Raw genomic sequence first — 25,371 nt, forward strand, 5'->3', positions numbered from 1 at the left:
ACACAATTATGTGCTTCCAACAGTCCCCCAAAGTCTTAACTTAATCCAGCATTAACCCAAAAGTCCAAGTCCAAAGTCTCATCTGAAATAAGGCAAGTCCCTTCTGCCTGTGAGCATGTAAAATTGAAAGTCAGTTATTACTTACTAGATACAGTGGGAGTACAGGCATTGGGTATAGACACCCATTCCAAATGGGAAAAAAATGGTTGAAACAAAAGGGGCTAGAGGCTCCATTCAAGACAAATCCAATGGGGCAGTCAATAAACCTTAAAGTTCCAAAATGATCTCCTTTGACTCCATGGCTCACATCCAGATTAGGCTGATGTAAGAGGTAGACTCCCACGACCTTGGTCAGCTCCACCCCTATGACTTTGCAAGGTACAGCCCCTCTCCTGGCTGCTTTCACAGCTGGTGTTGAGTGTGTACAGCTTTTCCAAGTGCAAAGTGCAACTCTCAGTGGATCCACTATTCTAGGGTCTGGGGGATGGTGGCCCTCTTCTCACAGCTCCACTAGGTGATGCCCCAGTAGGGACTCTGTGTGGGGGCTCCAATCCCACATTTCCCTTCTGCACTGCCCTACCAGAGGTTCTCCATGAGAGCTCCGCCCATGAAGCACACCTCTGCCTGGAGATCCAGGTGTTTCCACATATGCTTTGAAATCTAGGCAGAGGTTCCCAAACATCAATTCTTGACTTCAGTGCACCCACAAGCTCAACACCATGTGGAAGCTGCCAAAGCTTGGGGCTTGCACCCTCAGAATCCACACAGCCCAAGCTGTACATTGGCCCCTTTTAGCCACAGTTGGAAGGTCTGGGACACAGGTCACCAAGTCCCTAGACTGCACATAGCAGGAGGGCCCTGGGTCTGGCCTGTGAAACCATTTTTTCTTCCTAGGCCTCTGGGCCTGTGATGGGAGAGGCTACTGCAAAGGTCTCTGACATGCCTTGGAGACCTTTACCACATTGTCTAGGTGATTAGCATTTGGCTTCTTGTTACTTATGCAAATTTCTGCAGTCAACTGGCTTGAATTTCTCCCCAGAAAATAGGTTTTTCTTTTCTACTGCATCATCAGGCTGCAAATTTTCCAACTTTTATGCTCTGCTTTCTGTTGAATGCTTTGCCACTTAGAAATTTCAAAGTTCTACTGATATCTAGGGCAGAGGCAAAATGCTGCCAGTCTCTTTGATAAAGCATAGCAAGAGTGACCTTTACTCCAGTTCCCAACAAGTTCCTCTTCTCCATCTAAGACCACCTCAGCCTGGACTTCATTGTACATATCACTATCAGCAGTTTGGTCAAAACCATTCAATAATTTTCTAGGAAGTTCCAAACTTTTCCACATCTTCCAGTGTTCTGAGCCCTCCAAGTCTCTAGGAAGTTCCAAACTTTCCCACATTTTCCTGTCGTCTTCTGAGTCCTTCAAACTGTTCCAACCTCAGCCCATTACCCAGTTCCAAAGTCACTTCCAGATTTTCTGGTATGTTTAATAGTAGTGCCCCACTACCTCAGTACCAATTTACTGTATTAGTTCATTCTCACACTGCTATAAAGAACTGCCTGAGAATGGATTATTTATAAAGGAAAGAAGTTTAGTTGACTCACAGTTTCCTATTGCTTGCAAGGCCCCAGGAAACTTACAATCATGGTGGAAGGCAAAGGAGAAGCAGGTATCTTCTTTATAGGGTGGCAGGACAGAGGGAGTTTTAGCAAGGGAAATGCCAGGTACTTATAAAACTATCAGGTCTTGTGAGAACTCACTCACTATCATGATAACAGCACAGAGAAACCAACCCAATGATTCAATTACCTCCACCTGGTCCTGCCCTTGTCACATGAGGATTATTACAATTCAAGGTGAGATTTGGGTAGAGACACAGAACAAAACCATATTAGGCATCTAGGTTGATTCCTTTGCTACTGTGACTAGTGCTATGATGAACATACAAATACATGTGTCTTCTTGGTAGAACAATTTATATGCCTTCAGGTAACTACTCAGTAATAGGATTGCTGGGATTCATGGTAATTCTGTTTTAATTGCCTTATTTTGAAAAGTGCTGTTCATGTCTTTTGCCAGTTTTTAATTGGGTTGTTTTCTGCTCATTGATTTAAGTTCTTTATAATTCTGTATATTAGATCTTTGTCAGATGTATAGTTTGTAAATATTTTCTCGCATTTTCTATGCAGAAACTATTTAATTTAATTAGGTCCCTCTTCAACATTCTGGTTTTTGTTGCAATTGCCTTTAGAGTCTTAATCATGAAACCTTTTTCAAAGCCTATATCGAGAATGATATTTTCTAAGTTTTCTTCTGGGTTTTTATAGTTTTTGGTAATACATTCAAGTCTTTAATCAATCTTCAGTTAATTTTTTGTATATGGTAATAAGGGCTCCAGTTTCAATTTTCTTCATCCTACTAGTCATTTATCACAGCATCATTGATTGAATAGAGTTATTTCTTCATTGCTTATTATTGTCAACTTTGTTGAAGATCAGCAGGTTGTAGGTAGGTGTGCATCTTTATTTCTAGGCTCTCTAACCTGTTCCATTGGTATATGTGTCTGTTTTTGTACCAGTACCATGCTGTGTTGGTTACTGCAGCCTTGTAGTATAAAGTTGGATATTGTGATGCCACTGGCTTTGTTCTTTTTGCTTACGGTTTCCTTAGCTATTTGGGTTCTTTTTTTGTTCCATATGAATTTTAAAATAGCTTTTTTTCTAGTTGTGTGAAGAATGTAATTAGTAATTTGATAGGAATAACATTGAATCTGTAAATTCCTTTGGGCAGTATGGTCATCTTAACAATATTGGTTCTTCCTATACATGGGCATGAAATGTTCTTCCATTAGTTTTTGTCATTTCTGGTTTGTTTTAGCCATGTTTTGTAATTCTCATTGTAGAGATCTTTTACCTCTTTGATTAGCTATATTCCTAGTATTTTATTTTTTTGTGACTATTGTGAATGAGATTACGTTTTGATTTGGCTCTCAAGTTGGACGTTATTGGCATATATAAATGCTACTGATTTTTATACACTGATTTGGTATCCTGAAAGTTTGCTGAAGTTGCTTAACAGTTTTAGGTGCTTTTGGGCAGAAACTGTGGAGTTTTCTAGCTAAAAAATCATATTGACTATGAAGAGAAATAATGTGACTTCCTCTCTTTCTATTTGCATGCCTTTTATTTCTTTCTTTTGTCTGATTGCTTCAGCTAGATCTTCCTGTACTATGTTGAGAAAGAGTGATGAAAGTGGGCATCCTTGTTTTGTTCCAGTTCTCATGGGGAATGCTTTTAACTTTTTCCTGTTCAGTGTGTTGGTTTGTCATAGACTGCTCTTATTATTTTGAGGTATGGTCCTTCAATACCTAGTTTACTGAAGGTTTTTAATATGAAGGGATGTGAAGTTTTATCAAAAGCCTTTTTCTAATTTGTTGAAATGATTTTGTGGTTTTTGTTTTTAGTACTTTCTGTATGAATCACACCTATTAATTTGCATGTATTGAGCTAACTTTGCATTCTGGGAATAAAGCATACTTGATTATGATGGATTAGATTTTTGATGTACTCCTGGATTCAGTTTGCTAGTATTTTGTTGAGGATTTTAGCATCTATGTCAATGAGGAATATTGTCCTGAAGTTTTCTTTTTTGTTGTGCCTCTTCCAGGTTTTGGTATGAGAATGATGATGTCCTCATAGAATGAGTTGTGAGGAGTCCTTCTTCCTTGACTTTTTGAAATAATTTTAGTAGGATTGGTATTAGTTCTTTTTTTGTACATCTGATAGAATTCAGCTGTGAATCTGTCTGGCCCAGGGGTTTGATAGATTAGTAGGTTTGTTATTACTAATTCATTTTCAGGACTGGCTACTGGTCTGTTCATGATTTAAATTTATGGGGGTTTCAATCCTAGTGTTATGAGATCCTTGGGGTTTTGCTTCACCAGCCGGAAACCTCTGTGGCCAGTGGCGCCTTTGTCCAAGGTTTGCTCTGGCCCTCTGGGCTTGCTCCGATCACTCAGCCTTGCAGGCTGCACTTGGCTCATGCTACCAGCCTGGATCTCATGCCTGCCGAGGGTGAGCCATGTGTGGAGCAGCAATGGGTGTGTGAGCAAGCCTGTAGTCTGGCCATTGCGCAGAGCCCGGCCTGCCAGCTGCGGTGCGGTGGGCAGCTCCAGGCACCAGCATGGCCCCAGCCTCATGGCCTCAGCTCTCTGCAAGGCTGCAGCTGGACCAGGCACACCATAAACAACTTCCACAGCTGATACCGAGGAACACAGTGGCACCCAGAAGCTTGGAGACACCAGGAACCACAGAGCCCTAAAGAGGGTGTCACAACCCTGGCTCAGGGAGCTCCTAGGTTTGGGCTCCTTGAAGGGCCACAGGTCTTCTCTCTTTCTCTCTTCTGTCTTTCTTGTCACACACAAGGTGGTGAGCAAGGTGTGTGTTTCAGGCCTGTTTGTGTTACAGCCCTTTCAGTTCTGCCATGCAGCGGGTCTCAAGTTCTTGTCCTGCATTCAGGAAGACTGAGGTATACAAACAAATAGAGGGTGAGCAAGATGAAGAGGAGCTTTATTGAGCATGGTAGTCAGGGTTTCTGGATGAGTGTTTAGCCCTCAGCAAAGAGGGCACCCTGGAGTGAGTAGCTTCTCTCTGTAGCTGGTCCTCCCGTCATCTCTTCTGGTCTGAGTCTAGGACGTTTTATGGGCCTCAGAGGGGAAGAAGTGCAGTCCCATTGGTCCATGGGCAGCCATGGGTGGGCCCAGAAAAAGCACCACAAGTTCCCATTCTGGTCCACAGGACCAGCAGCCCAGCTCCCAGGCTTCAGGCCCTCCCCAGCTTGAAGGTGGGGCTTCACCCGGGACCCACCCCCTTCTGCCCAGGAGCCTGTCTACCACCTACCACACTTCATAGCACCAAGGCTGTTACTGCCAAGGGTTGCCTGCAGGCCAGCTTCGACCTGCCCTCAGCAGTCCCTCGGCTTTCCTCCTGTGTTCTGGGTGCCCAAAGTCCAGAGGGGACCCAGGGGGCTGGTGTGTCAGAGCTGTCCCAAGTGTGCACACATCCAACTGGGCTATGACAGCACCCGGGCTTGGTGTCAACCATGATCCGAGATTGGAGTGTGTTCCGCGAGCGGGTAGTGGCCAGATAGTGGGAGCAGACACCTCTGAGCCTGTGGGAACAAGGTGGGGGCCTTCCTTGGCCTCCTAGATTGCAGAAATGCCTGGGTCAACAGCTGCGCATGGGTGGCTGCAGATGTTCCCAGGAAGGCAGTGCTCCTGCCTGCTCCTGGCCCCCAAAAGCACAGGGAGCCCTGGGTCCATAGCCATTACTTGCGCTGCTGTAACTGTGCCCAGGAGGGTGGGGCTCCTGCCTGCTCCCTGCTTCCGCTGGCTTCGTGGAGCAGGGCACTACCCTGGGCCCAGCTCTGCCTTGGAACCCCTCTATGCCCTTCCCTCCATGTCTAACCACGCTGCTCCCCCATTGGCGGGTGACTGGGTGCGGCCTCATTGCGGTAGCAGGGTGATACCAGGGCAGCAGGCTCTCGGGGGAGTGCCAGGGGTGGACTCTAGGGACTGACTGTCTCCTCTCTGTGTTTCCCCTCAGCGGAGGCGCAGCGGCCCTGGCCAACTTTGTACAAAGGAACCCGACACAGTGGAGGCTCTGGACCTGGAAGTGGGTCCTGCCCGGCCATGCAAAGGTAAGGGTGGTGCAGTAGGCTGCTATGGGGTCATGGGGCACAGGGGTCCCACTGCCGCCTTTGCTGTTCCTGCAGCCGCTCCTGCCACCACCACCCATGTCTCCCCACTGCAGCCGATGTGATGGCAGCAGCCACTCTGGACTATAAAGGTGTTCCTAGCAGTCTCTGCAGGTTCCTTGTATTTTTGTGGTGTTGGTGGTTATTCTTGCTTGTGTTTATTTGGATCTTCTCTCTTTTTTTCTTTGTGAATCTAGCTAGTGGTATATCTTATTTATTCTTTCAAAAAACAAACTTTTGTTTTTGTTGATTTTTTTGTCTGGATTTTCACATCTCAGTTTCATTCAGTTCTGCTCTGATTTTCGTTATTTCTTTTCTTCTGCTACTTTTGATATTGGTTTGCTCTTATTTTCCTGGTTCCTTGAGGTGCAATGTTAGGTTGTTAATGTGAGACCTTTCTAACTTCTTGATGTAGGTATTTAGCACTATAAACCTTCTTAGTACTGCTTTAGCTATGTCTCAAAGATTCTGATATGTTGTGTCTTTGTATCTCTGTTTTCATTTGTTTCAAAGACTTTTTTAAAATTTTCTGCCTTAATTTCATTATTTACATTGTTTCAGGGGCAGGTCATTTAACTTCTGTGTAATTGTAGGGTTTTGATAGGGCTTTTTGGCATTAATTTATATTTCTATTATGCTGTGGCCCGAGAGTATGGTTGGTATGATTTTGGTTTTCTTGTATTTATTGAGAATTGCTTTATGGCTGAGTAAAGCATGTGGTCAATCATACAATATGTGCCATCTGCAGATGAGAAGAATGTATATTTTGTTGTTGGGTAGATGTCTGTTAGGTACATTTAGTCAAGTGTTGAGTTTAAGTCCTGAGTGTCTTGCCTTGATGATCTGACACTGTCAGTGTGGTGTTGAAGTCTTTCACTAATATTATGTGGTTATGTAAGTATCTTTGTAGGTCTATAAGAACCAGTTTTATGAATTTAGATGCTCTAAAGTTGGATGCATATGTATTTAGAACAGTTACACCTTCTTGTTGAATTGAATCTTTTATCATTGTATAATATTATTCTTTGTCCTTTTGATTGTTGGTTTAAAGTCTCTTTTGTCTGAAAAAAATAGCAACTCCTGCTTTGTTGTTGTTGTTGTTCTCTATTTGCTTGATATATATTTCTCCATCCCTTTACTTTGAGACTATGGGTGTTGTTGCATGTGAGATGAGTCTCTTGAAGTTTGAAGGCAGCAGAGTTGGGTCTTGCTTCTTTATCCAACTTGCCAGTCTGTGCCTTTTAAGTTGCTCATTTAGCCCATTTGTATTCCAGATCAAAATTCATATGTGAAGATTTGATCCTGTAATTGTGCTGTCAGATGGTTATTATGTAGACTTGATTATGTAATTGATTTATAGTGTTAATGTTCTGTGTATTTAGGTATGTTTTTGTGGTAGTTGGTATGTCTTTTGCTTCCATGTTTAGCACTCCCTTAAGGACCTCTAGGAAGGCAAGTCTGATGAGAATGAATTCCTTTAGTATTTCCTTTTCTGTAAAGGATTTCATTTGTTCATCACTTATGAAGCAGTTTGACTGGATATGACATTCTTGGTTGGAATTTCCTTTCTTTAGGAATACAGAATATGGGCCCTCAATCTCTTCCAACTTGTAAGATTTCTGCTGAATAGTCCACTGCTAGCCTGGTGAGGTTTCCTTTGTACATGACCTGCCCCTTTCGCTAGCTGTCTTTAAGGTTTCTTATTTCACATTGACCTCGGCGATCCTCTTTCACTCTATATTTTGGGAATTGTTGTCTTATGTAATATCTTTTTGGGGTTCTCTGAATTTTCTGAATTTGCATGTTGACTTCTCCATCAAGGTTGAGAAAATTTTTATTGACAATATCCTCAGATATGTTTTCCAAGTTAATTGCCTCTCTCTATCTCTTTTAGAAATTCCAGTGAGTCACAGGTTTGGTGTCTATATAATCCCATATTTCTTGGAGGTTTTGTTCATTTTTTATATCCTTTTTAAAATTTTTGTCTGCCTGTGTTGATTCAAAGGAACAGTCTTCCATCTCTGATATTCTTTTCTCAGCTTGGTCTATTCTATTATTAATGTTTCCCATTGTATTATGAAGTTCCTTTAGTGCATTTTTTATTTCCAGAAGTTCAGTTTTGTTCTTTCTCAACGTGTCTATGTTTTCTTTCTGCTCTTTATCAGTTTTACTGTATTCCTTGGATTGGGTTTCAACCTTTTTCTATATTTCATTGAGTTTCCTTGACATCTAGGTTCTGAATTTTATGTCTGTCATTTCAACAATTTCAATCTGGCTAACAACCATTGCTGGCAAGCTAGTTAGGTCATTTGCAGGCAAAAAGACACTCTGGCTTTTAGAGTTGCCAGAATTCTTGAGCTGTTTCTTTCTCATCTGTGGCAGCTAATGTTTCTTTAATCTTTAAAATTCCTTTTCTTTGGATGGTGCTTTTTGCTTTTATATTCTTTGTTGCCCTTGAGGTTTTGACTGTAGTGTAAATTTGGGTTTATTAGATTGTTTTCCTTTTTGGATGCTTTTAGGGGACCAAGGCTTAATTCAGCACTCCAGGGCTATGTGCTCTGTCTCTACGGGGCTAGAGCGAGAACCTTTGCTTTGTTCTCTGGCCCCTTGAGGTCAAGCACCTGCTCTACCAGAGGTGCTGATGTGTTCCCAATCTACTGGCAACAACATTCCAATCAGGGATGCTGGCAAAAGTGCTTCAGCGGAGCATTGGAGATGACATGGGAGAGTGTAATCCAACATGGAAGCAGGGAGCCAGAGGCACTTATGTAGCGATGGAGCAGTCACGGGCAAACACTTGATCACAGGGTAGCAGGGGTAGGCTGCAGGTTACTGAGCACTGGTGGGAGAAGACTGAAAGTGAATCTGCACCAGTAGGGATCCATATGCAAAAGCAAAAAACTGGGCAAAAAACTGGAAGTTAGGGGCTGCTGGCTGAAGAACTATGACAGCGGCTGCTGGCAAGTGCTTCGGCAGGGCAGCTGAGGCTGTGCACTAAGCCAGTGTGGCTATGCAGGGGCCCTAGTAGAAGCCAGCACAGAGAGGAATGGTCAGATCAGACTGGCCCAGGCCTATGTGCAAAACAGGCCTGCTTTCTCCAGACCTGGGAGCTAGCAAAAGCTAAAGCCACCTAAAGAAATATGGAGAGCCTTGGGGGATGGGCATCTATGGCCATGTTCCACTGCAGCTATTCCTGCACCAAACCCTCTGGACTCCACACAGCGTAGAGTACTGTCTCTGCCAATTCTCTGGGAAGTTCTCCCTGCCAGCTAAAATGTCTCTGGGCATCAAGGAGTCTCCTGCAGCTAGGATCCTGGAGGTCCATGGTAAGAGTGGGCTGTTCCATGTCTGTTTCACTCACTCCTTCTCTAGGAGCTGTGCGGGGCCAGGAATGAGTCATGGTGCTCAGCAAACCTATGCAGGATTCCTAGCTTCCTCCCCTTTTAGCTCCAGGGTCTGCATTCTCCCTCTATTCACCCTTAATGCCTTTTATCCAAAGATTTTTTTGGAGTATGCCAGCCTGCTTGATATTCTGGTCTTTTTCAGGGGGAGAAGCTCTTCCAGAATTCATCTAGTCAACCATCTTGGCTCTATCCCATAACTACTTTAAATGTATATAATATACACACATGAATCTAAAGACAAAAATTGGCAGAGTGTATGAAAACAGAACTTAGCTGTATGCTGTTCAAAAGACACACTTCAAACAAAATGACAATGATACGTTGAGAGTAAAAGGGTAGCAAAAAATATATGTAATGCAAACATTAATCAGTAAAAACTAGGAGTGGCTATATCAATACAAGACAAGATAGACGTCAGTGGAAAAAAAATTACAAGGCACATTACATAATGACAAAAGGACTAATCTGTTAAGAAGATAAAGCAATTCTGAATTCCAAACAGCAAACAGCAGAACTTCAAAATACATGAAATGAAAACCAGTAAAGCTGAAGTAAGAATAGACACATCATTAGTCATAGTTGAGCATGTTTACAATCCACTGTCAGGCAATTGATAGAACTGCTAGACATAAAACAAGAAAGGATATAAAAGAACTGAACAACATTATTGGTCAAGAGGATGTAATAAAAATATAGGGAATACATCCACCTACAAAGAAGAATATGCAACCTGCTCAAGAGCTCAGAAAACATTTAACAAGATAGAACAAGATGAACCATAAGAAATTTAAAAGAATTGCAATTATGTAGAGTATGATCTTTGACTAAAACGGAATAAAATTAGAAATCAATAACAGAATGAAAACATAAAAATCCTCAAACACTTAGAAGTTAAATCATACACTTCAAAATCTTGCAGTAAATGAGGAAATTTCAGATAAAATAAAAATGTGCATAGCATTGAGTGCAATTGAAAGCATGACATATCAAAATGTGTGGGATGCAACTAAAGCTTTACTGAGGAAACATATTTACAACACTAAAGGCTTATTTTAGAAAATAGGAAAGAAACAAATCAATAATATCAGTTCCTACTTAAAGAGATTAGAAAAAGAAGAGTAAAATAAATCCAAAGTAAGTAGATGGAGAGAAACGATAGAGAAAAAAAGCAGAAATCTATGATACTAAAAACAGATAAACAACAGAAATAATTGATAAAACGAAAAACTAGCTTTAATAATATCAATAAAATTAATATACTTAAGAGGGACAAAAAAGAAGGAGAAGGCACAAATAACTGAGATCAGGAACAAAACAGGGTATCAGAACAAATCCTGCAGCCGTTAAAATAATAATGAGTATAATATTAACAACTTTTCATTCATAAAGTCAACAACTTAGAAAAGTTTCTCACACATCACAAATTGTCAAAAGTCAGATAAGAAAAAAACACATAATCTACATAGCACTGTAGCTATTAAATAAATAGAATTTGAAGTATAAAATTTCCCCAAAAGCAGATAAGCAGGAACAAATGTTACAACAAAGAATTATACCAAATCTTCAAATAAGGACTAACGTCCTTAAGTTCAGTTTTTACAGAAGGCCTGAAGATCTAGGGAGAGTTGGAAAAAAAAGTAGTAATATTGTGCTGAGGTTTGGATTCTGTTGCTGCTCAAGTTTGGAAAACTTGAGTATATAAACTCAGACTAAAACTTAATGGCTTTTGAAGATTTACGTACAACGTGAGTGGGTATAGTATAGATTGTTGCAAGTATATGGTTAAAGAAACAAAAAATATTTTAAAAAATAAACTATGTGAGTGGGTAAAGGGATAGGGCCATACTAAAAAACTGACATGGAGTCTGGAGTATACCTTGCAATTGTTTTCCCAGAAAGATTTAGGAAGAAGATCAGTCGGTAGATGTGTTTTCACAATCCGGGGTGATGGATTCTTCTCCAATTGTTCTATACCTGAGAAATTTAGTTAAGTATAGGGAAATATTAGAGTCTCCAGAAAGGCTACGTTTCCTTATTTTGCCAACCAGTTTTTCAAGACATTTTTGAGCATTATGTAATGCAGATAAATTCTGAAACAATCACAGGCATTTCACCACATTACTAGAGTCAGTATTGTGTAACATTCAAGGATACACATTCTGAGGTTAGCCACCCTGAGTTCAAATGCTAACTCTATCACTTAAGCATTGTGAGACACTTTGAAAGTATCTCAGAATCTCTGTACTTCACTTTCTCCATCTCCAAAAGGAGAGATAATAATACCCTCTTTAATAATTTGGAGTTTTATTATACCTGTGCATTGCTATAAATGACTATTTAAATGTTTTCTTCATGCCAAAGAGGTATCAATAACTAGTAAGTCTAAAACTGGCTATCGTGTTGTATTAGGTACTGTAGCATAGATGATGTTAACTTTGTATATAATATCAGCTGTTTTATCTATATTTTCATTATATCCTATATGTGTCATATGTCTCTCCATATATGTATAGACAGTAAAAATGTGTAATCTTTAGATATTAGCTTAACTCTCTAAAGTCATACAACAAATATGTGGTAGAACTTGATTTCAAATTAAGGTCTTAAGATAGATGATACATAAACTTCTTATGCATTCTTTTATGTTCCACAGTATTACTTATATACAGTCTAAACTCTAGAATACCTGATAATCTTACATAATCTTGCCATCTCTGAATAGAAAGGCAAACCCACACAAAATTGCATCTGACTCACTCATTGAAAACAATGCTTTGTTTTAAATGTTCACAGTAATTCACTGCATATGCTAAGAAGTCATTCAGCCTATTACATTTTTCTCTTAATGTTCTATGAAACACATTTTGACTTCATAGTTTATTTACTTATTTGTTTGCTTACTGTATGTCCCCATGTCCCTTCCCCAACCTCACTCCTAAACTTAGACTAAAATGGAGATTTCATAAGAACAGAGATGTAACTTGTTTTGTTCATAAATAAATGTCCATCGAGAACCGTGACTAGCACATGGTTAATATGAAGAAGCCTATTTAATGTCAGTAGACACAGGTTTGGCATACAGGAAATTAAAAAATGTGAAAATCCAAGTTAAATTTGAATTATCAGATAAATAGGTTGTTTTTAGCAAGAATATTTCCCTTACAACATTTGGAAAGTACTTACATACTTAATAAAATGGTTATTTATCTGAATTTGAAATTAATTAATTGTCCTGTATTTTATTTGCCAATATAAATGACTGTAAACATAAATTACTATACAACTCCATCAGGGATTTTACTATGCCTCTACTGATCTAGCAGCTACAGTCACTTTACCCAGCATATAAAAATGAGAAATTGTAATCCTCCACAACTCGTTATTACTTAATGTCCATTAGATGAACTTATGTCTGTTTCTTTTAAGAAGTTTTTCTCACATCTGTTGTTCCTTGTTCCGCATTCAGCTTCCCTGAAAGATTTCTCAATTTCCCCTATTTTGCAATCATTTTGCCAAGTGAGTCTTTTAATGAACCCTTTATATCCACAAGTATGAGTGTTAGCAATGTATAAAGACAACAAAATTATCCACATTCAGGCTCTGGAGTTTGTTTGTTTGTTTATTTGAGACGGAGTCTCACTCTGTCGCCCAGGCTGGAGTGCAGTGGCGCGATCTCAGTTCACTGCAAGCTCTGCCTCCCGGGTTCACGCCATTCTCCTGCCTCAGCCTCCCGAGTAGTTGAGACTACCGGCGCCCGCCACCACGCCCGGCTAATTTTTTGTATATTTTAGTAGAGACGGGGTTTCACCGTGTTAGCCAGGACTGTCTCGATCTCCTGACCTCGTGATCCACCCGCCTCGACCTCCCAAAGTGCTGGGATTACAGGCGTGAGCCACCGCGCCCGGCCTAGAGTAGATTTAAATGCTGCAGTTTACCCTCATCTACCTGATGAACTTCAGCCATTCACTGTCAGGCAATGCTGCATATCCTCCCTCTCTATCCCCAATCCTGCCTTCCATCTGTTATCCCTGACTCCCATGTCTCTGATTACTTTGGTTCTGTCACTTTTTCATTTCATACTTTCTATGGTTCTGAAGTCTTGCCTCCCTCTTGAACTCATTTTGGTTCCTTGCCCCAGCATAATCCCTCAGTTCCAAGCTTTCCAAGGATAGGCATGTTTAAGAACATCAAGACATAACATAGTCATGTTTAAGAACATCTTATCATAACCATTTGTTTTAAGAAACTTTGCAGTTTGCATTTTAAGTCCTTGACAAATGTAAGATTAACAACTTTGTGAGAGTAACAGATTTGCTTTGTAATGCTAAGTAAAAAATGTTGAGTATTTATACTTGAATTTTAAGTTGAAATCTTGCTAAGTGTCTAATTTTCTTTTTTAAATTTGTTTAGAGACAGAGTCTTGCTCTTTCGCCCAGGCTGGAGTACAGTGGTGGAATCATTGCTAAGTTTCTATGTAGTTTTGGAACATTTAAAATGGCTAAGATTTGCTGTATTTATGAGCTTAATTTATTGGACTATAAGTACTTGGGAAGGTTTGTCTTGGTCAGATAAATTAAGTACTCAAGGAAATGAAATATATTAATATATAAATGCCACTTAAGTGTTTAAAGGAGCTTAATTAAATAAAACTTGGATTGAATATTAAACTCCTTTTGTTATATAAGTAAAATAATAATATTTATAAGCTGAACTTAATGGCTTAGGAAACAACTGGGATTTTATATTTGTAACTTTGAAAAATTGAATATATTTTTTAAACAAAACAAAACAAAAATTGGCATTTGCTGTCTGAATTCTGGCAATGACATAGAAGGACTGACATCTTGCCAGTTGATCCGTCTCTGCCTACGGAAGTAACTAGTTCAGTCAGCCTGCTGAGGGGCACCTCCATTATAGAAGAGGATTTGGATATTTCTCTTCACATTGGCATACAGGTCTATCACTATCCTACTACTTATTTGTTTCCCAGGATTCCAGCAGCATTTGAAAGTCAAGCTTCACTTCTTGAATACCCCTCTCATTTACTTACAGAACACCATACTCTTGCATTCCCTGTTAGCTCATTTTTTTTCAGTTTCCTTTGCTAGCTTCTCTTTCTCACCTAACTTCTGCATGTTGATGTTTTTCACAGCTCATTGCTTCTCTTCTCATATAGCTCCACAGGCTTTCCTTGGGCAGTCACATTGATTCCAATGTCCAATTATGCTGAGCATTGCCTAATGAATATATTTTTACAAGCTCCAAATACCATCATTTTAATTCATTATAATTTTCTCCAATGTCACAAAGCTAACATTTCACAATTGAATTATTAATAACCCTACACCCAAATGTGTTCCTCTCCAAGTACTTTTCCTTGCAAGCGAATGGTTCCATAGTCCACTTGCTTGATGAAAAATAAAACTGTCATTTTTCTTTCATTTTCTTCATATTTCTTTTACAGTCCATCAACAAGTCACAAATATGTCTTATCTAGCATCCTCAATTCCACCTCTACCAAGCAACCTGTGGAGTCTTTGTATTTAAAACAACAACAAAAAACAAAAACTCTATATAATTTTTCTTTGCATAAAACCCTTCAATATCTTCCTCAATGTTCTTGGAATAAAATGAGAAAATGTTTTAAGAATTACAAGTCCTACATGGTCTATCCTAGCCTAATTTCCAATTGTTTTGCATCCCACTTTTTCCTTCTTTCATGGATCATTTTAGTCTCCGGACTATATCAAGATCTTCCTGGAATATGCTTTCCAGGACTGTATCCTGGGATATTCTTTCCCCAAGTATGTACAACTTTTTAATCTCAATTTGGAGTAGATACCCCTTGTTAAATTAAGTTTAGACTAAAGCTGTCATCTTACACATTTTAAGTTTGGCTTAAAGGTTTCTCTATACATAGTGAATTGTAACCTAACTGGATGTGTAAACATATTACATTCTACCCTTGTGCGAATCACCAAGTTTTGGCCAATCAAAGGTGGCCAGCTCTTCAGACTGTGTTCAAATAAGTCAGACACTAAACTTTAACTAAACCAGCTGTTTCTATATCTCAAGTCTGTTCTCTGTATGTCACATTCCTTCCTTCCATAAACCATGTAGCTATTCTGGAATCTCTGAGGCTATTTTGGCTCAAGAGGCTGCCTGATTTGTGAATTGTCCTTTGCTCAATTAAACTCATTTAATTTGTCTAAGTTTTTTTCCTTTATTACCCACTTAAAGTAAGCTTTCCTATTGTTCGCTTCCACAGAACCCTATTATTTGACTATGTAAGACTATGAACATTGACATATTGTTATTTACTTTTTGACGTCACAATATTGCTGTAAGCTCCCTGTGATACAATATACAATTTCTAATCTTATATATCTATACCATAGCACAGTGAATAATTCTTTACAAGCATTCCATAAATATTTTGTGGAAGAAAAATTAATAGTATTAGTGAATTTTATGTTTTAAGAAAAGTTGCTTCTTATTTATTAATTACAACAAAGTCCTAAATTAGGAACTTACTAATCTAATCAGACAAATTCTACCAAATAAAAGTCTTAAAAATATTGTTTATTTTATCAATCAAATTTTTAATTGTTTTGTACAGTAAGACTCTTTCATCTTTGATATCATACCTGGATGTACAACAGATAAAAATAAAGTTTCTTCTTATTCTTCAGTTTTATATTGTTTGCCACCTTCCATTTTATGTCACCAAATCTACTCCGGTTTCAGTGAAAGTCACACATACAATAATGCATATGCTGTCTAAATAATATTACAAAATAATAATTCCAAGTGGGTTAAATTTACCTGATGTTCTTAATCCAGGGAGAGTCATTTCCAACATTGGAACTTTTTCAGTAATAAAACCTCGCTTACATTTTTCAATATCTCCATCATTTAGAATCATGTCTATAATTTCACTAACCCAAGTAGTACCTGTGACAAAAGGCAACATTTTCAAAATAATTACCCAAATTGCACGGGAGAGGGAGAAGAATTTATTGGAAACACTACCATCTTAACACATTCTATTACAAACTTAATTCCCCTTTCTATGCACCAAATGCCAATTTTAATATACTAAAATAGATGGCTGCACAAAATGAATATTAACTTTATTTAGAATGGTAATGATTTTATGGACAAGTTGATTTCCAGGAAACAAAAAATGAGGTCGGACTTGAATTTGTCAGGCCACAGAACTCACCTGATTTAGGATAAGTGGCTATCACAATGTCATCTGGTCTGCTATGGAACTGTTCAATTTTTTCCCAGTTGCTTGCAAAAGCACAGGTCATGGGATAACCATGGACCAACTTCAGATCTTTTCGCAGAATATCTTTTGGGGAAAGCATTTTAATACCAGATTGTACAAATATATAATAGATTGACAGTTGTTCTGGAGAAATATAGAGAATAAAAATCAGAATCTGAGTAACTAATGTTGGTCTTAAGACACTGCAATTTGTCACAAAGTAAAATTGGCCTTTAACATTCTGCGCACATGGAGATCTAAGTACAAAGGGCATATTTTGTGGGCATTAGGTGCAGTAGATTGCAAGAGCAGTAACTGGCTCTGTGACAAGCAGGACAAAGGTCTCTAGTGGAAGTTTTGGAAAGAAATGAAACTGCATATCTCTCTTTGAATTAAAAAGCGTGTTTCACAGAAATATGGCAAAAACAATCTGAACAATCTGACTTAAGGCAAAATAAATCCACTGCTCATTATTAAGACTTCAGCTACACGTCATTTTTCCTTACAGAAAATTTGCTGTCATTCTGACCTTTGATTTTCAGTTTGTAATTCATCCTTTTTCTTTGTGTGCTTCTAAGGTTTCTTTCTTTATCACTTATTTTGAGCAAGTAGATTATAATGTTCCTAGGTGTGGTTATTTTCATGTGTGTGTGTGTGCACGCGCGTATACATTTTAGCTTTATTGAGCTTCTTGAAATTGTGAGTTTACGGTTTCCATCAAATTTGGATAATTTTCAGCCATTATTTCTTCAAATATTTTTTCCATCTCTCTCTCCTTCTGAGACTATAATTACATGTATATTAGGCCATATGAAGTTGCCCACAGCTGAGAGATTATCTATTTAGTTTTTTAAAAAGCTTTTCTCTGTGTGTGTTTCATTTGGGATATTCTCTATTGCTATGTCTTTGTAATTACTAACCTTTTCTTCTGCAATGTTTAATCTGTCTTTACTCCTATCCAGTGTATTTTTATCTCTGGCTTTGTAGTTTTAATCTCTGGCTGTTCAATTTCAATATGTTTATTTTTTTGTTCTCAACTTTTTAAGCATACTAAGTACGGTTATAATGATTTTTTTCTTTGTTTAACATCTGGGTAATTCTATGTTGTTTTCAATTGATTGATTTTTTTCTCATTATGGTAGGCTTTTTCTCCTTGTTTACATGTCTGATAATTTTTTATTGGATGCTTGGTGTTCCTGTTAACTTCTTCTTGATTAGAAGCTGTCATTGATAATTTTTTGTGTCAACCTGACTGTGCCAAGGAGTCCCCAGACATTTGGCCAAACACTACTCAGAGTGTTTCTGTATTGGTGTTTTAGGACTAGATTAATATTTAAATTGGTAGACTGAGTGATTGTCCTGCCTAAGTGGGTGATCTTCAGCCAATTAGTTGAAGTCTGAGTAGAACAAAAAGGGTGATGCTCCTAGGAGTATTCCTTCTACCTAATTGCCTTTGAGCTTTAATCAAAACATCGTTGTTTTTTGTTTGTTTCTTTATTCCTGCCTGCAGACTCAAACTGAAGCATTGCTCTTCCTGGATCTCCAGCCTGCCAGCCTTTTGACTAGAGCTAAACCATCAGCTCTACTGGGTCTCCAGTTTTCCAGGTCACCCTACATATCCTGGAATATGCCTGCATACCTGCCTCTAAAATAATGTCATATATGTATGTGTTCAAAGGCAGTCAGACAGGAAGAATTCCTCTTTACTTCCAGGAGAGTCACCCTTTTGGTTCTATTCAGGCCTTCAACTGATTGCGTGAGTCCCATTCACATTAGGGAAGGCAATCTGCTGTACTCAATCTGCCAATTTAAATTTTAATCTCATCTGAAAACACCCTCACAGACACACACACACACACACAGACACACACACACACACACAAAGTAATTTTTCATCAGACATCTGGGTTTCCTGTGGCCCCATCAATTGGACACATAAAATTGGCATCACAAAGAGCTACTTATTATTTATTTTTTCCACTATTTCCACTGAACTTTGTAAGTAAAACCATAGCCTTGCTTTTAATAATGTTTTTTCATTTTACATCAACTTTATTTATTTTACAATTTATAGATTCCTTCATAATCGATGTTCCATTTATTTCTTAAGATCTGTTAATTTAATAACATATAACATGTTTACTATTGTATAGATAGAATTTGAACTAATTGCAGCATAAATTGCATAATATCTTAGATGAAATCGCATTGCTTCTAGTAAAATAACTTTAAAGATTGCCAATCAGAGGTTCTTAATTGATTAAGTATAATAGTTTCTGGTAAATATTTTGTAAGTAATTTGTGGACCCACAAACAAAAATCAATAATTTAACAGCTAGCTGGAGCTTAAACTAGTTTACCTAATGTTAATTTGTATAGAAAGAGGTATGCTTTTGACTAGGAAAAACATGTTAGTATAACAGCCTTGTATCTCAAAGCCAACTCCTCCACCATCACTACCCCCATCTACACACACACACACAAAATCTAGGAGGGAGAAATTTGGGCAAATATTTTTTCATTTTATATTGTAAGATGTGTATTACGTAACATATTTTTATATGTTATCATTCATGGGTTTTACAGAAAAATGCTGTGTCATTTTGTTTTTCCAGTAAAAGTCATTATTCAACAATACGTTTGTCCTGAAACATGTAGCATCTTATGCTACAAATAGAGTGAAAATTAATAAAATAAGTTGAATTTTGCATTTTCATACTGTTTATTGAGTAATGGAGTTGCAGGCCTCAAAAACCTGAAATAGAGGATATTAATGGAGAAGCAGTCTCAAAATAGATTAGACACAATCAAGTTTAGAGCATGTGAGACCCTGGGGCAAGGATGCCAATGACAGCTGAGTGAATGGAGCATTTTAGGAAAATTATATTCAATATTTATCTTCTATATGCTTCTCAGTTATCCTCCATTTCCAGTAAAATGTCAGGTAGTCTTTGCAATACTTTGTTAGTGGAGATAGTCTTGTAGAAAAGATTCTCCAGCATGAAATACTGTGGAACATGTTAGCAGCTCAAGAAAGGAACAATTAATGTGGATGGTCAAGAAGTCAGCAGAAGGAGGAAGTTGAAAGAAAAGAAAGTAAGTCTGTAAGCAGTGTACTTGGGATGAAGTTGGTATTGAATAAATTGAATGAAGAAATGAATGAATGATGAGATTTCCACTTCTCACCCAGAATCTTTTGATATCTTGAGAATAGTGCCCCTTCTCAGTTTGGATATAAAGGAATCAGAGTCCACAGAAGTCAACATAGTACATTCAGATGTTAGACTTGATTTCCACATGATGAATGAAATAGCTCTTTCTGAAACATTTTATTTTATTAACTTCTTAGCAAGTTGTTTCTTCCCAAATTATCTAAAGGGAAATATCAATGGCACACCTCATTTCAAAAATTGTCTATTCTGAATTAATTGAGAAAAATAAATGAGTCTCTATTCATCGGCTCCAGAATGTAATGTTTAGTAGCAGTATAACTTTACTTACCAACTCCTATAATGCACACATATTATGCAAAAGTGAATGAATATTGAGGGAGCTGATACCCTTTTCATACTGTCTGCTAAAATTATATAGACAAATTGATTCCCCATGTAGCAAGTAGCTTATATTATATATTTATAGCATCATTTCTGGTTCCATTTCATGTCTTGGTTCATCCTTTGCCTTTTCTTTATTTATTCATCTTAATTTAATTTGTACTATTCTTTTATATGCATAAAATTGATTTACAGTTTCTATTCAAATTACAGTCCATGTACAAGCCCCATGTGTTATTGGCCTTAACGGAGAGCTTGTTGGAAATGTGGAATCTCAGGTTTCAACCCAGAATCAGAATCTACATTTTAGTAAGATCCTCAACTAATTTGTTTGCACTTAAAACTTGAGCAAATGACTTTAAACTACCTTTAATTATCTAATGATACAGGGTGTAAGTAAATGATTTAATCAAAATGAATTCAGGGTCTTTTAAAACAAATTGTACTGATTGTGCTTCATGTATATGATCTCTAATCATTACCTACCCTGAAATGATAAGTCTTACTTGCATTTTGTGGATAAGATTAGGAAACAGATCTTCAGAGCGTCTGCTCAAAGAAACACAGAAAGGGAGTGGCAACCCAGGAATGGACTTTAGTTTGCCCAGCTCTGTTCATGTGATCATACTGAAAATTTACCGTAGGCCCAACCCAGAGTCAAAAATGTCCGTGATTTATCTCATTCAAACAAGAGTATTTACAAATTGGAAGGGATTTTTGCTTTGACAATGAAAATCCCCCGTGACAAAAAGGTCAGGCACTTCATGCTGTAAAATTGTTGCCGGAGAAGGATGGAATGAGTAGGAAGATGAAAATAAGGCAGCTGTTTGTGAATATATGCTAGTCACCTCTGGGAAGTGGGTGTGTCCAATTCAGGAAGCTACAGGGTATTAGGCATCAAACAGCATTACCTCGTCATGACCAGTGGATAAATGATGAGTTCTGAATTATATGGGGAGAAGAGTATGGAGAGGAGGACTGGAAGATGTCAAATAATTAATATAATTAAACTAGATATGCTGAAAGATGATTTATGAATGACATTTACTTTAAAATCTAAAAATTAGTTCATAAAATATTTTAAACCCTATTGGAAAGGAACAGGCTATTTAAAGTAGTTGTAAATTATACATGGGATCTCAAGACTTCCTATTTAAGATGAGCCATAGGCTGAAAATTAAAATGTCTAAAATTGACTTTAAGGAATATTAATGGAACAAAAGAGAAAAATAAAAAACAATGCCTGTTTTAGAAGAAACTGAGTCATTTTACATTAAAACTATATTTTTCCATCAATTAGAAAAAACAATTTCTTTCATTTGTCATACTCTGACAAAGTTTAGCTCTATCTGATACACATCAAATCAAGCTACTTAAATAAATGTGGTAAACGACATATTTTATATTCTGGAGTGCACCTTAAAGGTGTGTGTATGTGCATATGTGTGCATGAATGCATGTGAGTAGGACTGGATGAAGGATGGGAGCAGAGAAACGAAAACTTGAAAAAGATTTCTTTTTCTTTAAGTGGCTTACAGTTTCTTGAGAAGACCTCCATTCCTTGCATGCTTCAGTTCCACTAAATGTAGAAAAATAAAATTGAACATTGAAAGCTTGAGAGATTTTAGACAGCATAAACAATGAAAGTTTCCTATAAGAAAATTGGAATTATGCAAAAGACTTTCTAATTATAAAATATGTTCAAAACAGAAATTGTTCTGAGGCACACAATATTCTGCGGGGATAGGACAAAACTTCAAGGAAAGAAATTGAAAAGCAAATTTTACCTCACAATTTAATCCCTTTGTTCAGTTTTCATTTTCAGGCAGTGAAGCTGCTGTAGAGTAACCATGGGAAACGGTGGTGGTTCTGGCAGGCAATGGGGAGCACAGGAAGGCTCCTGGCACCAGAAAAAAAAAAGTTCAAGGTTTGATCTGAACGTAGCAATCACTGAGTTTACAGGCAGCTAAGATATAAAAAGGTTAAACTACCCACACCCACAATCACACACACACACATACACACACATGAGGCAAGTTCCACTGTTTCAACAGCTAGCAAAGCCAGGAAGCCAGGAAGTGGTTCAGGGTGGTGGCCATAAGTCAGCACAAGCACAGGCTGTTTAGATTTTAAGCTCTCTGCAAGCTTCAAAGTGTCTGAGAAATGCAGAGGGAAAGAACATGAAGGGTTAGTGGATCAAAATTGTTGCTTCTCTATATCTTATAAGAATGTCTTCTAACAATTTTGGTCATAACAGAAATAAAAATTGGTTTTGTGTGTGTTTGTGCATGTGTCAGTATGTTTCCATCTGGAATAAACGTGAGTTTCTAATATCATTAAATGTCAAACATATTAAAGATGAAATGATTAATTACTTTGGCATCAGAAACACAAATACTCTAATCATTTCCACAACTCTTGGTTTTTTCTTCTTTTGGTATGCAGAATCACATAAACAAGAAATGAGTGGAAATCAATCCATTTTTTAAGAGCACTCGTCTCAAACTTACACACAACTACAACCACCAAGCTCTTGCCCCTGAGTTATACCTATGAAGGCCTGGGAAAGTCAGGAAGACCAGAGGGAAACTAGCACATTCCTTTAGACCATCAGTTTAACTTATAAATGTATTAAAGAAATGTAAAGCATATTTTCTTCTTAAAAGATGCTGCCGCTCTCCCTCTCCCTCTCCCTCTCCCTCTCCCTCTCCTCTTTCCACGGTCTCCCTCTGATGCCGAGCCGAAGCTGGACTGTACTGCTGCCATCTCGGCTCACTGCAACCTCCCTGCCTGATTCTCCTGCCTCAGCCTACCGAGTGCCTGCGATTGCAGGCGCGCCGCCACGCCTGACTGGTTTTCGTATTTTTTGGGTGGAGACGGGGTTTCGCTGTGTTGGCCGGGCTGGTCTCCAGCTCCTAACCGCGAGTGATCCGCCAGCCTCGGCCTCCCGAGGTGCCGGGATTGCAGACGGAGTCTCCTTCACTCAGTGCTCAATGGTGCCCAGGCTGGAGTGCAGTGGCGTGATCTCGGCTCGCTACAACATCCACCTCCCAGCAGCCTGCCTTGGCCTCCCAAAGTGCCGAGATTGCAGCCTCTGCCCGGCCGCCACCCCGTCTGGGAAGTGAGAAGCGTCTCTGCCTGGCCGCCCATCGTCTGGGATGTGAGGAGCCCCTCTGCCTGGCTGCCCAGTCTGGAAAGTGAGGAGCATCTCTGCCCAGCCGCCATCCCATCTAGGAAGTGAGGAGCGCCTCTTCCCGGCCACCATCTCATCTAGGAAGTGAGGAGCGTCTCTGCCCGGCTGCCCATCGTCTGAGATGTGGGGAGCGCCTCTGCCCTGTCGCCCTGTCCGGGATGTGAGGAGCGTCTCTGCCCGGCCGCCCCGTCTGAGAAGTGAGGAGACCCTCTGCCTGGCAACCGCCCTGTCTGAGAAGTGAGGAGCCCCTCCGCCCAGCAGCCGCCCCGTCTGAGAAGTGAGGAGCCCCTCCGCCCGGCAGCCACCCCGTCCGGGAGGGAGGTGGGGGGGTCAGCCCCCCGCCTGGCCAGCCGCCCCGTCCGGGAGGTGAGGGGCGCCTCTGCCCGGCCGCCCCTACTGGGAAGTGAGGAGCCCCTCTGCCCGGCCAGCCGCCCCATCCAGGAGGGAGGTGGGGGGGGTCAGCCCCCCGCCTGGCCAGCCGCCCCATCCGGGAGGGAGGGGGGGGGTCAGCCCCCCGCCCGGCCAGCCACCCCGTCCGGGAGGTGAGGGGCGCCTCTGCCCGGCCGCCCCTACTGGGAAGTGAGGAGCCCCTCTGCCCGGCCACCACCCCGTCTGGGAGGTGTACCCAACAGCTCATTGAGAACGGGCCATGATGACAATGGCAGTTTTGTGGAATAGAAAGGGGGGAAAGGTGGGGAAAGGATTGAGAAATCGGATGGTTGCCGTGTCTGTGTAGAAAGAGGTAGACATGGGAGACTTTTCATTTTGTTCTGTACTAAGAAAAATTCTTCTGCCTTGGGATCCTGTTGATCTGTGACCTTACCCCCAACCCTGTGCTCTCTGAAACATGTGCTGTGTCCACTCAGGGTTGAATGGATTAAGGGCGGTGCAAGATGTGCTTTGTTAAACAGACGCTTGAAGGCAGCATGCTCATTGAGAGTCATCACCACTCCCTAATCTCAAGTACCCAGGGACACAAACACTGCGGAAGGCCGCAGGGTCCTCTGCCTAGGAAAACCAGAGACCTTTGTTCACTTGTTTATCTGCTGACCTTCCCTCCACTATTGTCCTGTGACCCTGCCAAATCCCCCTCTGCGAGAAACACCCAAGAATGATCAATGAAAAAAAAAAAATAAAATAAGAACTACAAAAAAAAAAAAAAAAAAGATGCTGCCAACAGATTCCTAATCTTTGCCAGTCAGGGTTGTTTTATTTTCATTTTGTAAAGAGGGTGGAAGAGTATTAAAGAGAGAATACAGACAAAAGGGGTTTATGTGCACCTATTATAGTTGTATTTTGTTGCCCTTATGGGGAAGCATTAGGCTTCCAAATGAATCAGGAACAGGCACATAGAGGGCATTGAGACAGTCGTATGTCAATCTGTCTCTCTTTGATTGAGAACCTGAAATGTTTGAATTTTCTGAGATTCCCTAGCTTAGAAAGTTAGCTTTCTAGGCTAACTTGTTTATTTTCTAAATGTGATTTTGTGATTTTATAAGCTATGATTTTCTTTTCTCCTTTTGATGACGCATAGAGCCATTGGCTCCCACAGACCACCTCCACTTCCTACCAACCTTCATGCAGTCAACTGACACATTCCATAGACATAGAGTCTGTATAGGTCAACTTTCTGCAGTAGTGAACTACTGAAAACAAAAGCTGAACAAATTATATTTTCAATTGTGTATACAAATCTGCTATTGAAAATTATTTTATAGTGTAAGTTTAAAACCAATTCAATAGGCAAGATAATATAATACATTCGGACAGCCTGAAATCTGACAAATTTTGGAAACCTGTGGAATTGTACCTCAGGCTTCCTTAAGTAAATTTATCAGTGAAAAAATGTGATTATTCTAACCTAGACACAACTTGTGAAGCTAGGAAAACACACTGAAGGCAGTGGGAGAGGACTAGTGAGCAAGAGGGTGGGCTATAGCACAAGTCCTGGGCTTTAAATCCCAAACACAATCATTAACCAGCCTTGTGAGAGGGACAGGAAATTTAGCCTCTCTGTGCCTCCATTGCCCCACTGGGAATAATAGCATCTTCTTTATGCAGTTGTTTCAGTTTTCTCCTTTTTTTGAGTGTGGGAAAATACATATAATATAAAATTTACCATCTTAATGAGTTTTAAGTATACTTCAGTAGTGTTAAGTATATTCACACTGTAATGTAATCAATCTCCAGAACTT

The 25,371-nt window shown here is 39.4% G+C and overlaps 1 protein-coding gene across 1 annotated transcript in view, besides 3 other annotated features; it reads right to left on the bottom strand.

The window, feature by feature from the left end:
- Positions 1–21,932, bottom strand: part of SULT1B1 (sulfotransferase family 1B member 1) — a 39,454-nt gene extending 17,522 nt beyond the window's left edge. Inside the window, exons 1-4 of the mRNA NM_014465.4 lie at positions 21,771–21,932; positions 16,382–16,573; positions 15,982–16,110; positions 11,033–11,130 (exon numbers count right to left, since the gene is read on the bottom strand). Coding sequence (NP_055280.2) covers positions 11,033–11,130; positions 15,982–16,110; positions 16,382–16,529 — 375 coding nt within the window. The 5' untranslated portion in view covers positions 16,530–16,573; positions 21,771–21,932. The remainder of the gene's footprint in view (positions 1–11,032; positions 11,131–15,981; positions 16,111–16,381; positions 16,574–21,770) is intronic.
- Positions 4,145–4,644: an enhancer, noted in NCBI's record as "H3K4me1 hESC enhancer chr4:70608551-70609050 (GRCh37/hg19 assembly coordinates)". NCBI's record gives its function as "activates a minimal SCP1, AML or CMV promoter by ChIP-STARR-seq in primed H9 embryonic stem cells {active_cell/tissue: H9 hESC(primed)}" and the evidence as "EXISTENCE:reporter gene assay evidence [ECO:0000049][PMID:30033119]".
- Positions 4,847–5,348: an enhancer, noted in NCBI's record as "H3K4me1 hESC enhancer chr4:70609253-70609754 (GRCh37/hg19 assembly coordinates)". NCBI's record gives its function as "activates a minimal SCP1, AML or CMV promoter by ChIP-STARR-seq in primed H9 embryonic stem cells {active_cell/tissue: H9 hESC(primed)}" and the evidence as "EXISTENCE:reporter gene assay evidence [ECO:0000049][PMID:30033119]".
- Positions 5,349–5,848: an enhancer, noted in NCBI's record as "H3K4me1 hESC enhancer chr4:70609755-70610254 (GRCh37/hg19 assembly coordinates)". NCBI's record gives its function as "activates a minimal SCP1, AML or CMV promoter by ChIP-STARR-seq in primed H9 embryonic stem cells {active_cell/tissue: H9 hESC(primed)}" and the evidence as "EXISTENCE:reporter gene assay evidence [ECO:0000049][PMID:30033119]".
- Positions 21,933–25,371: the final 3,439 nt, after the last annotated feature.

The sequence above is a fragment of the Homo sapiens genome, chromosome 4 (genome assembly GCF_000001405.40).
Source record: "Homo sapiens chromosome 4, GRCh38.p14 Primary Assembly".
NCBI classification, from domain to species: Eukaryota; Metazoa; Chordata; class Mammalia; order Primates; family Hominidae; genus Homo; species Homo sapiens.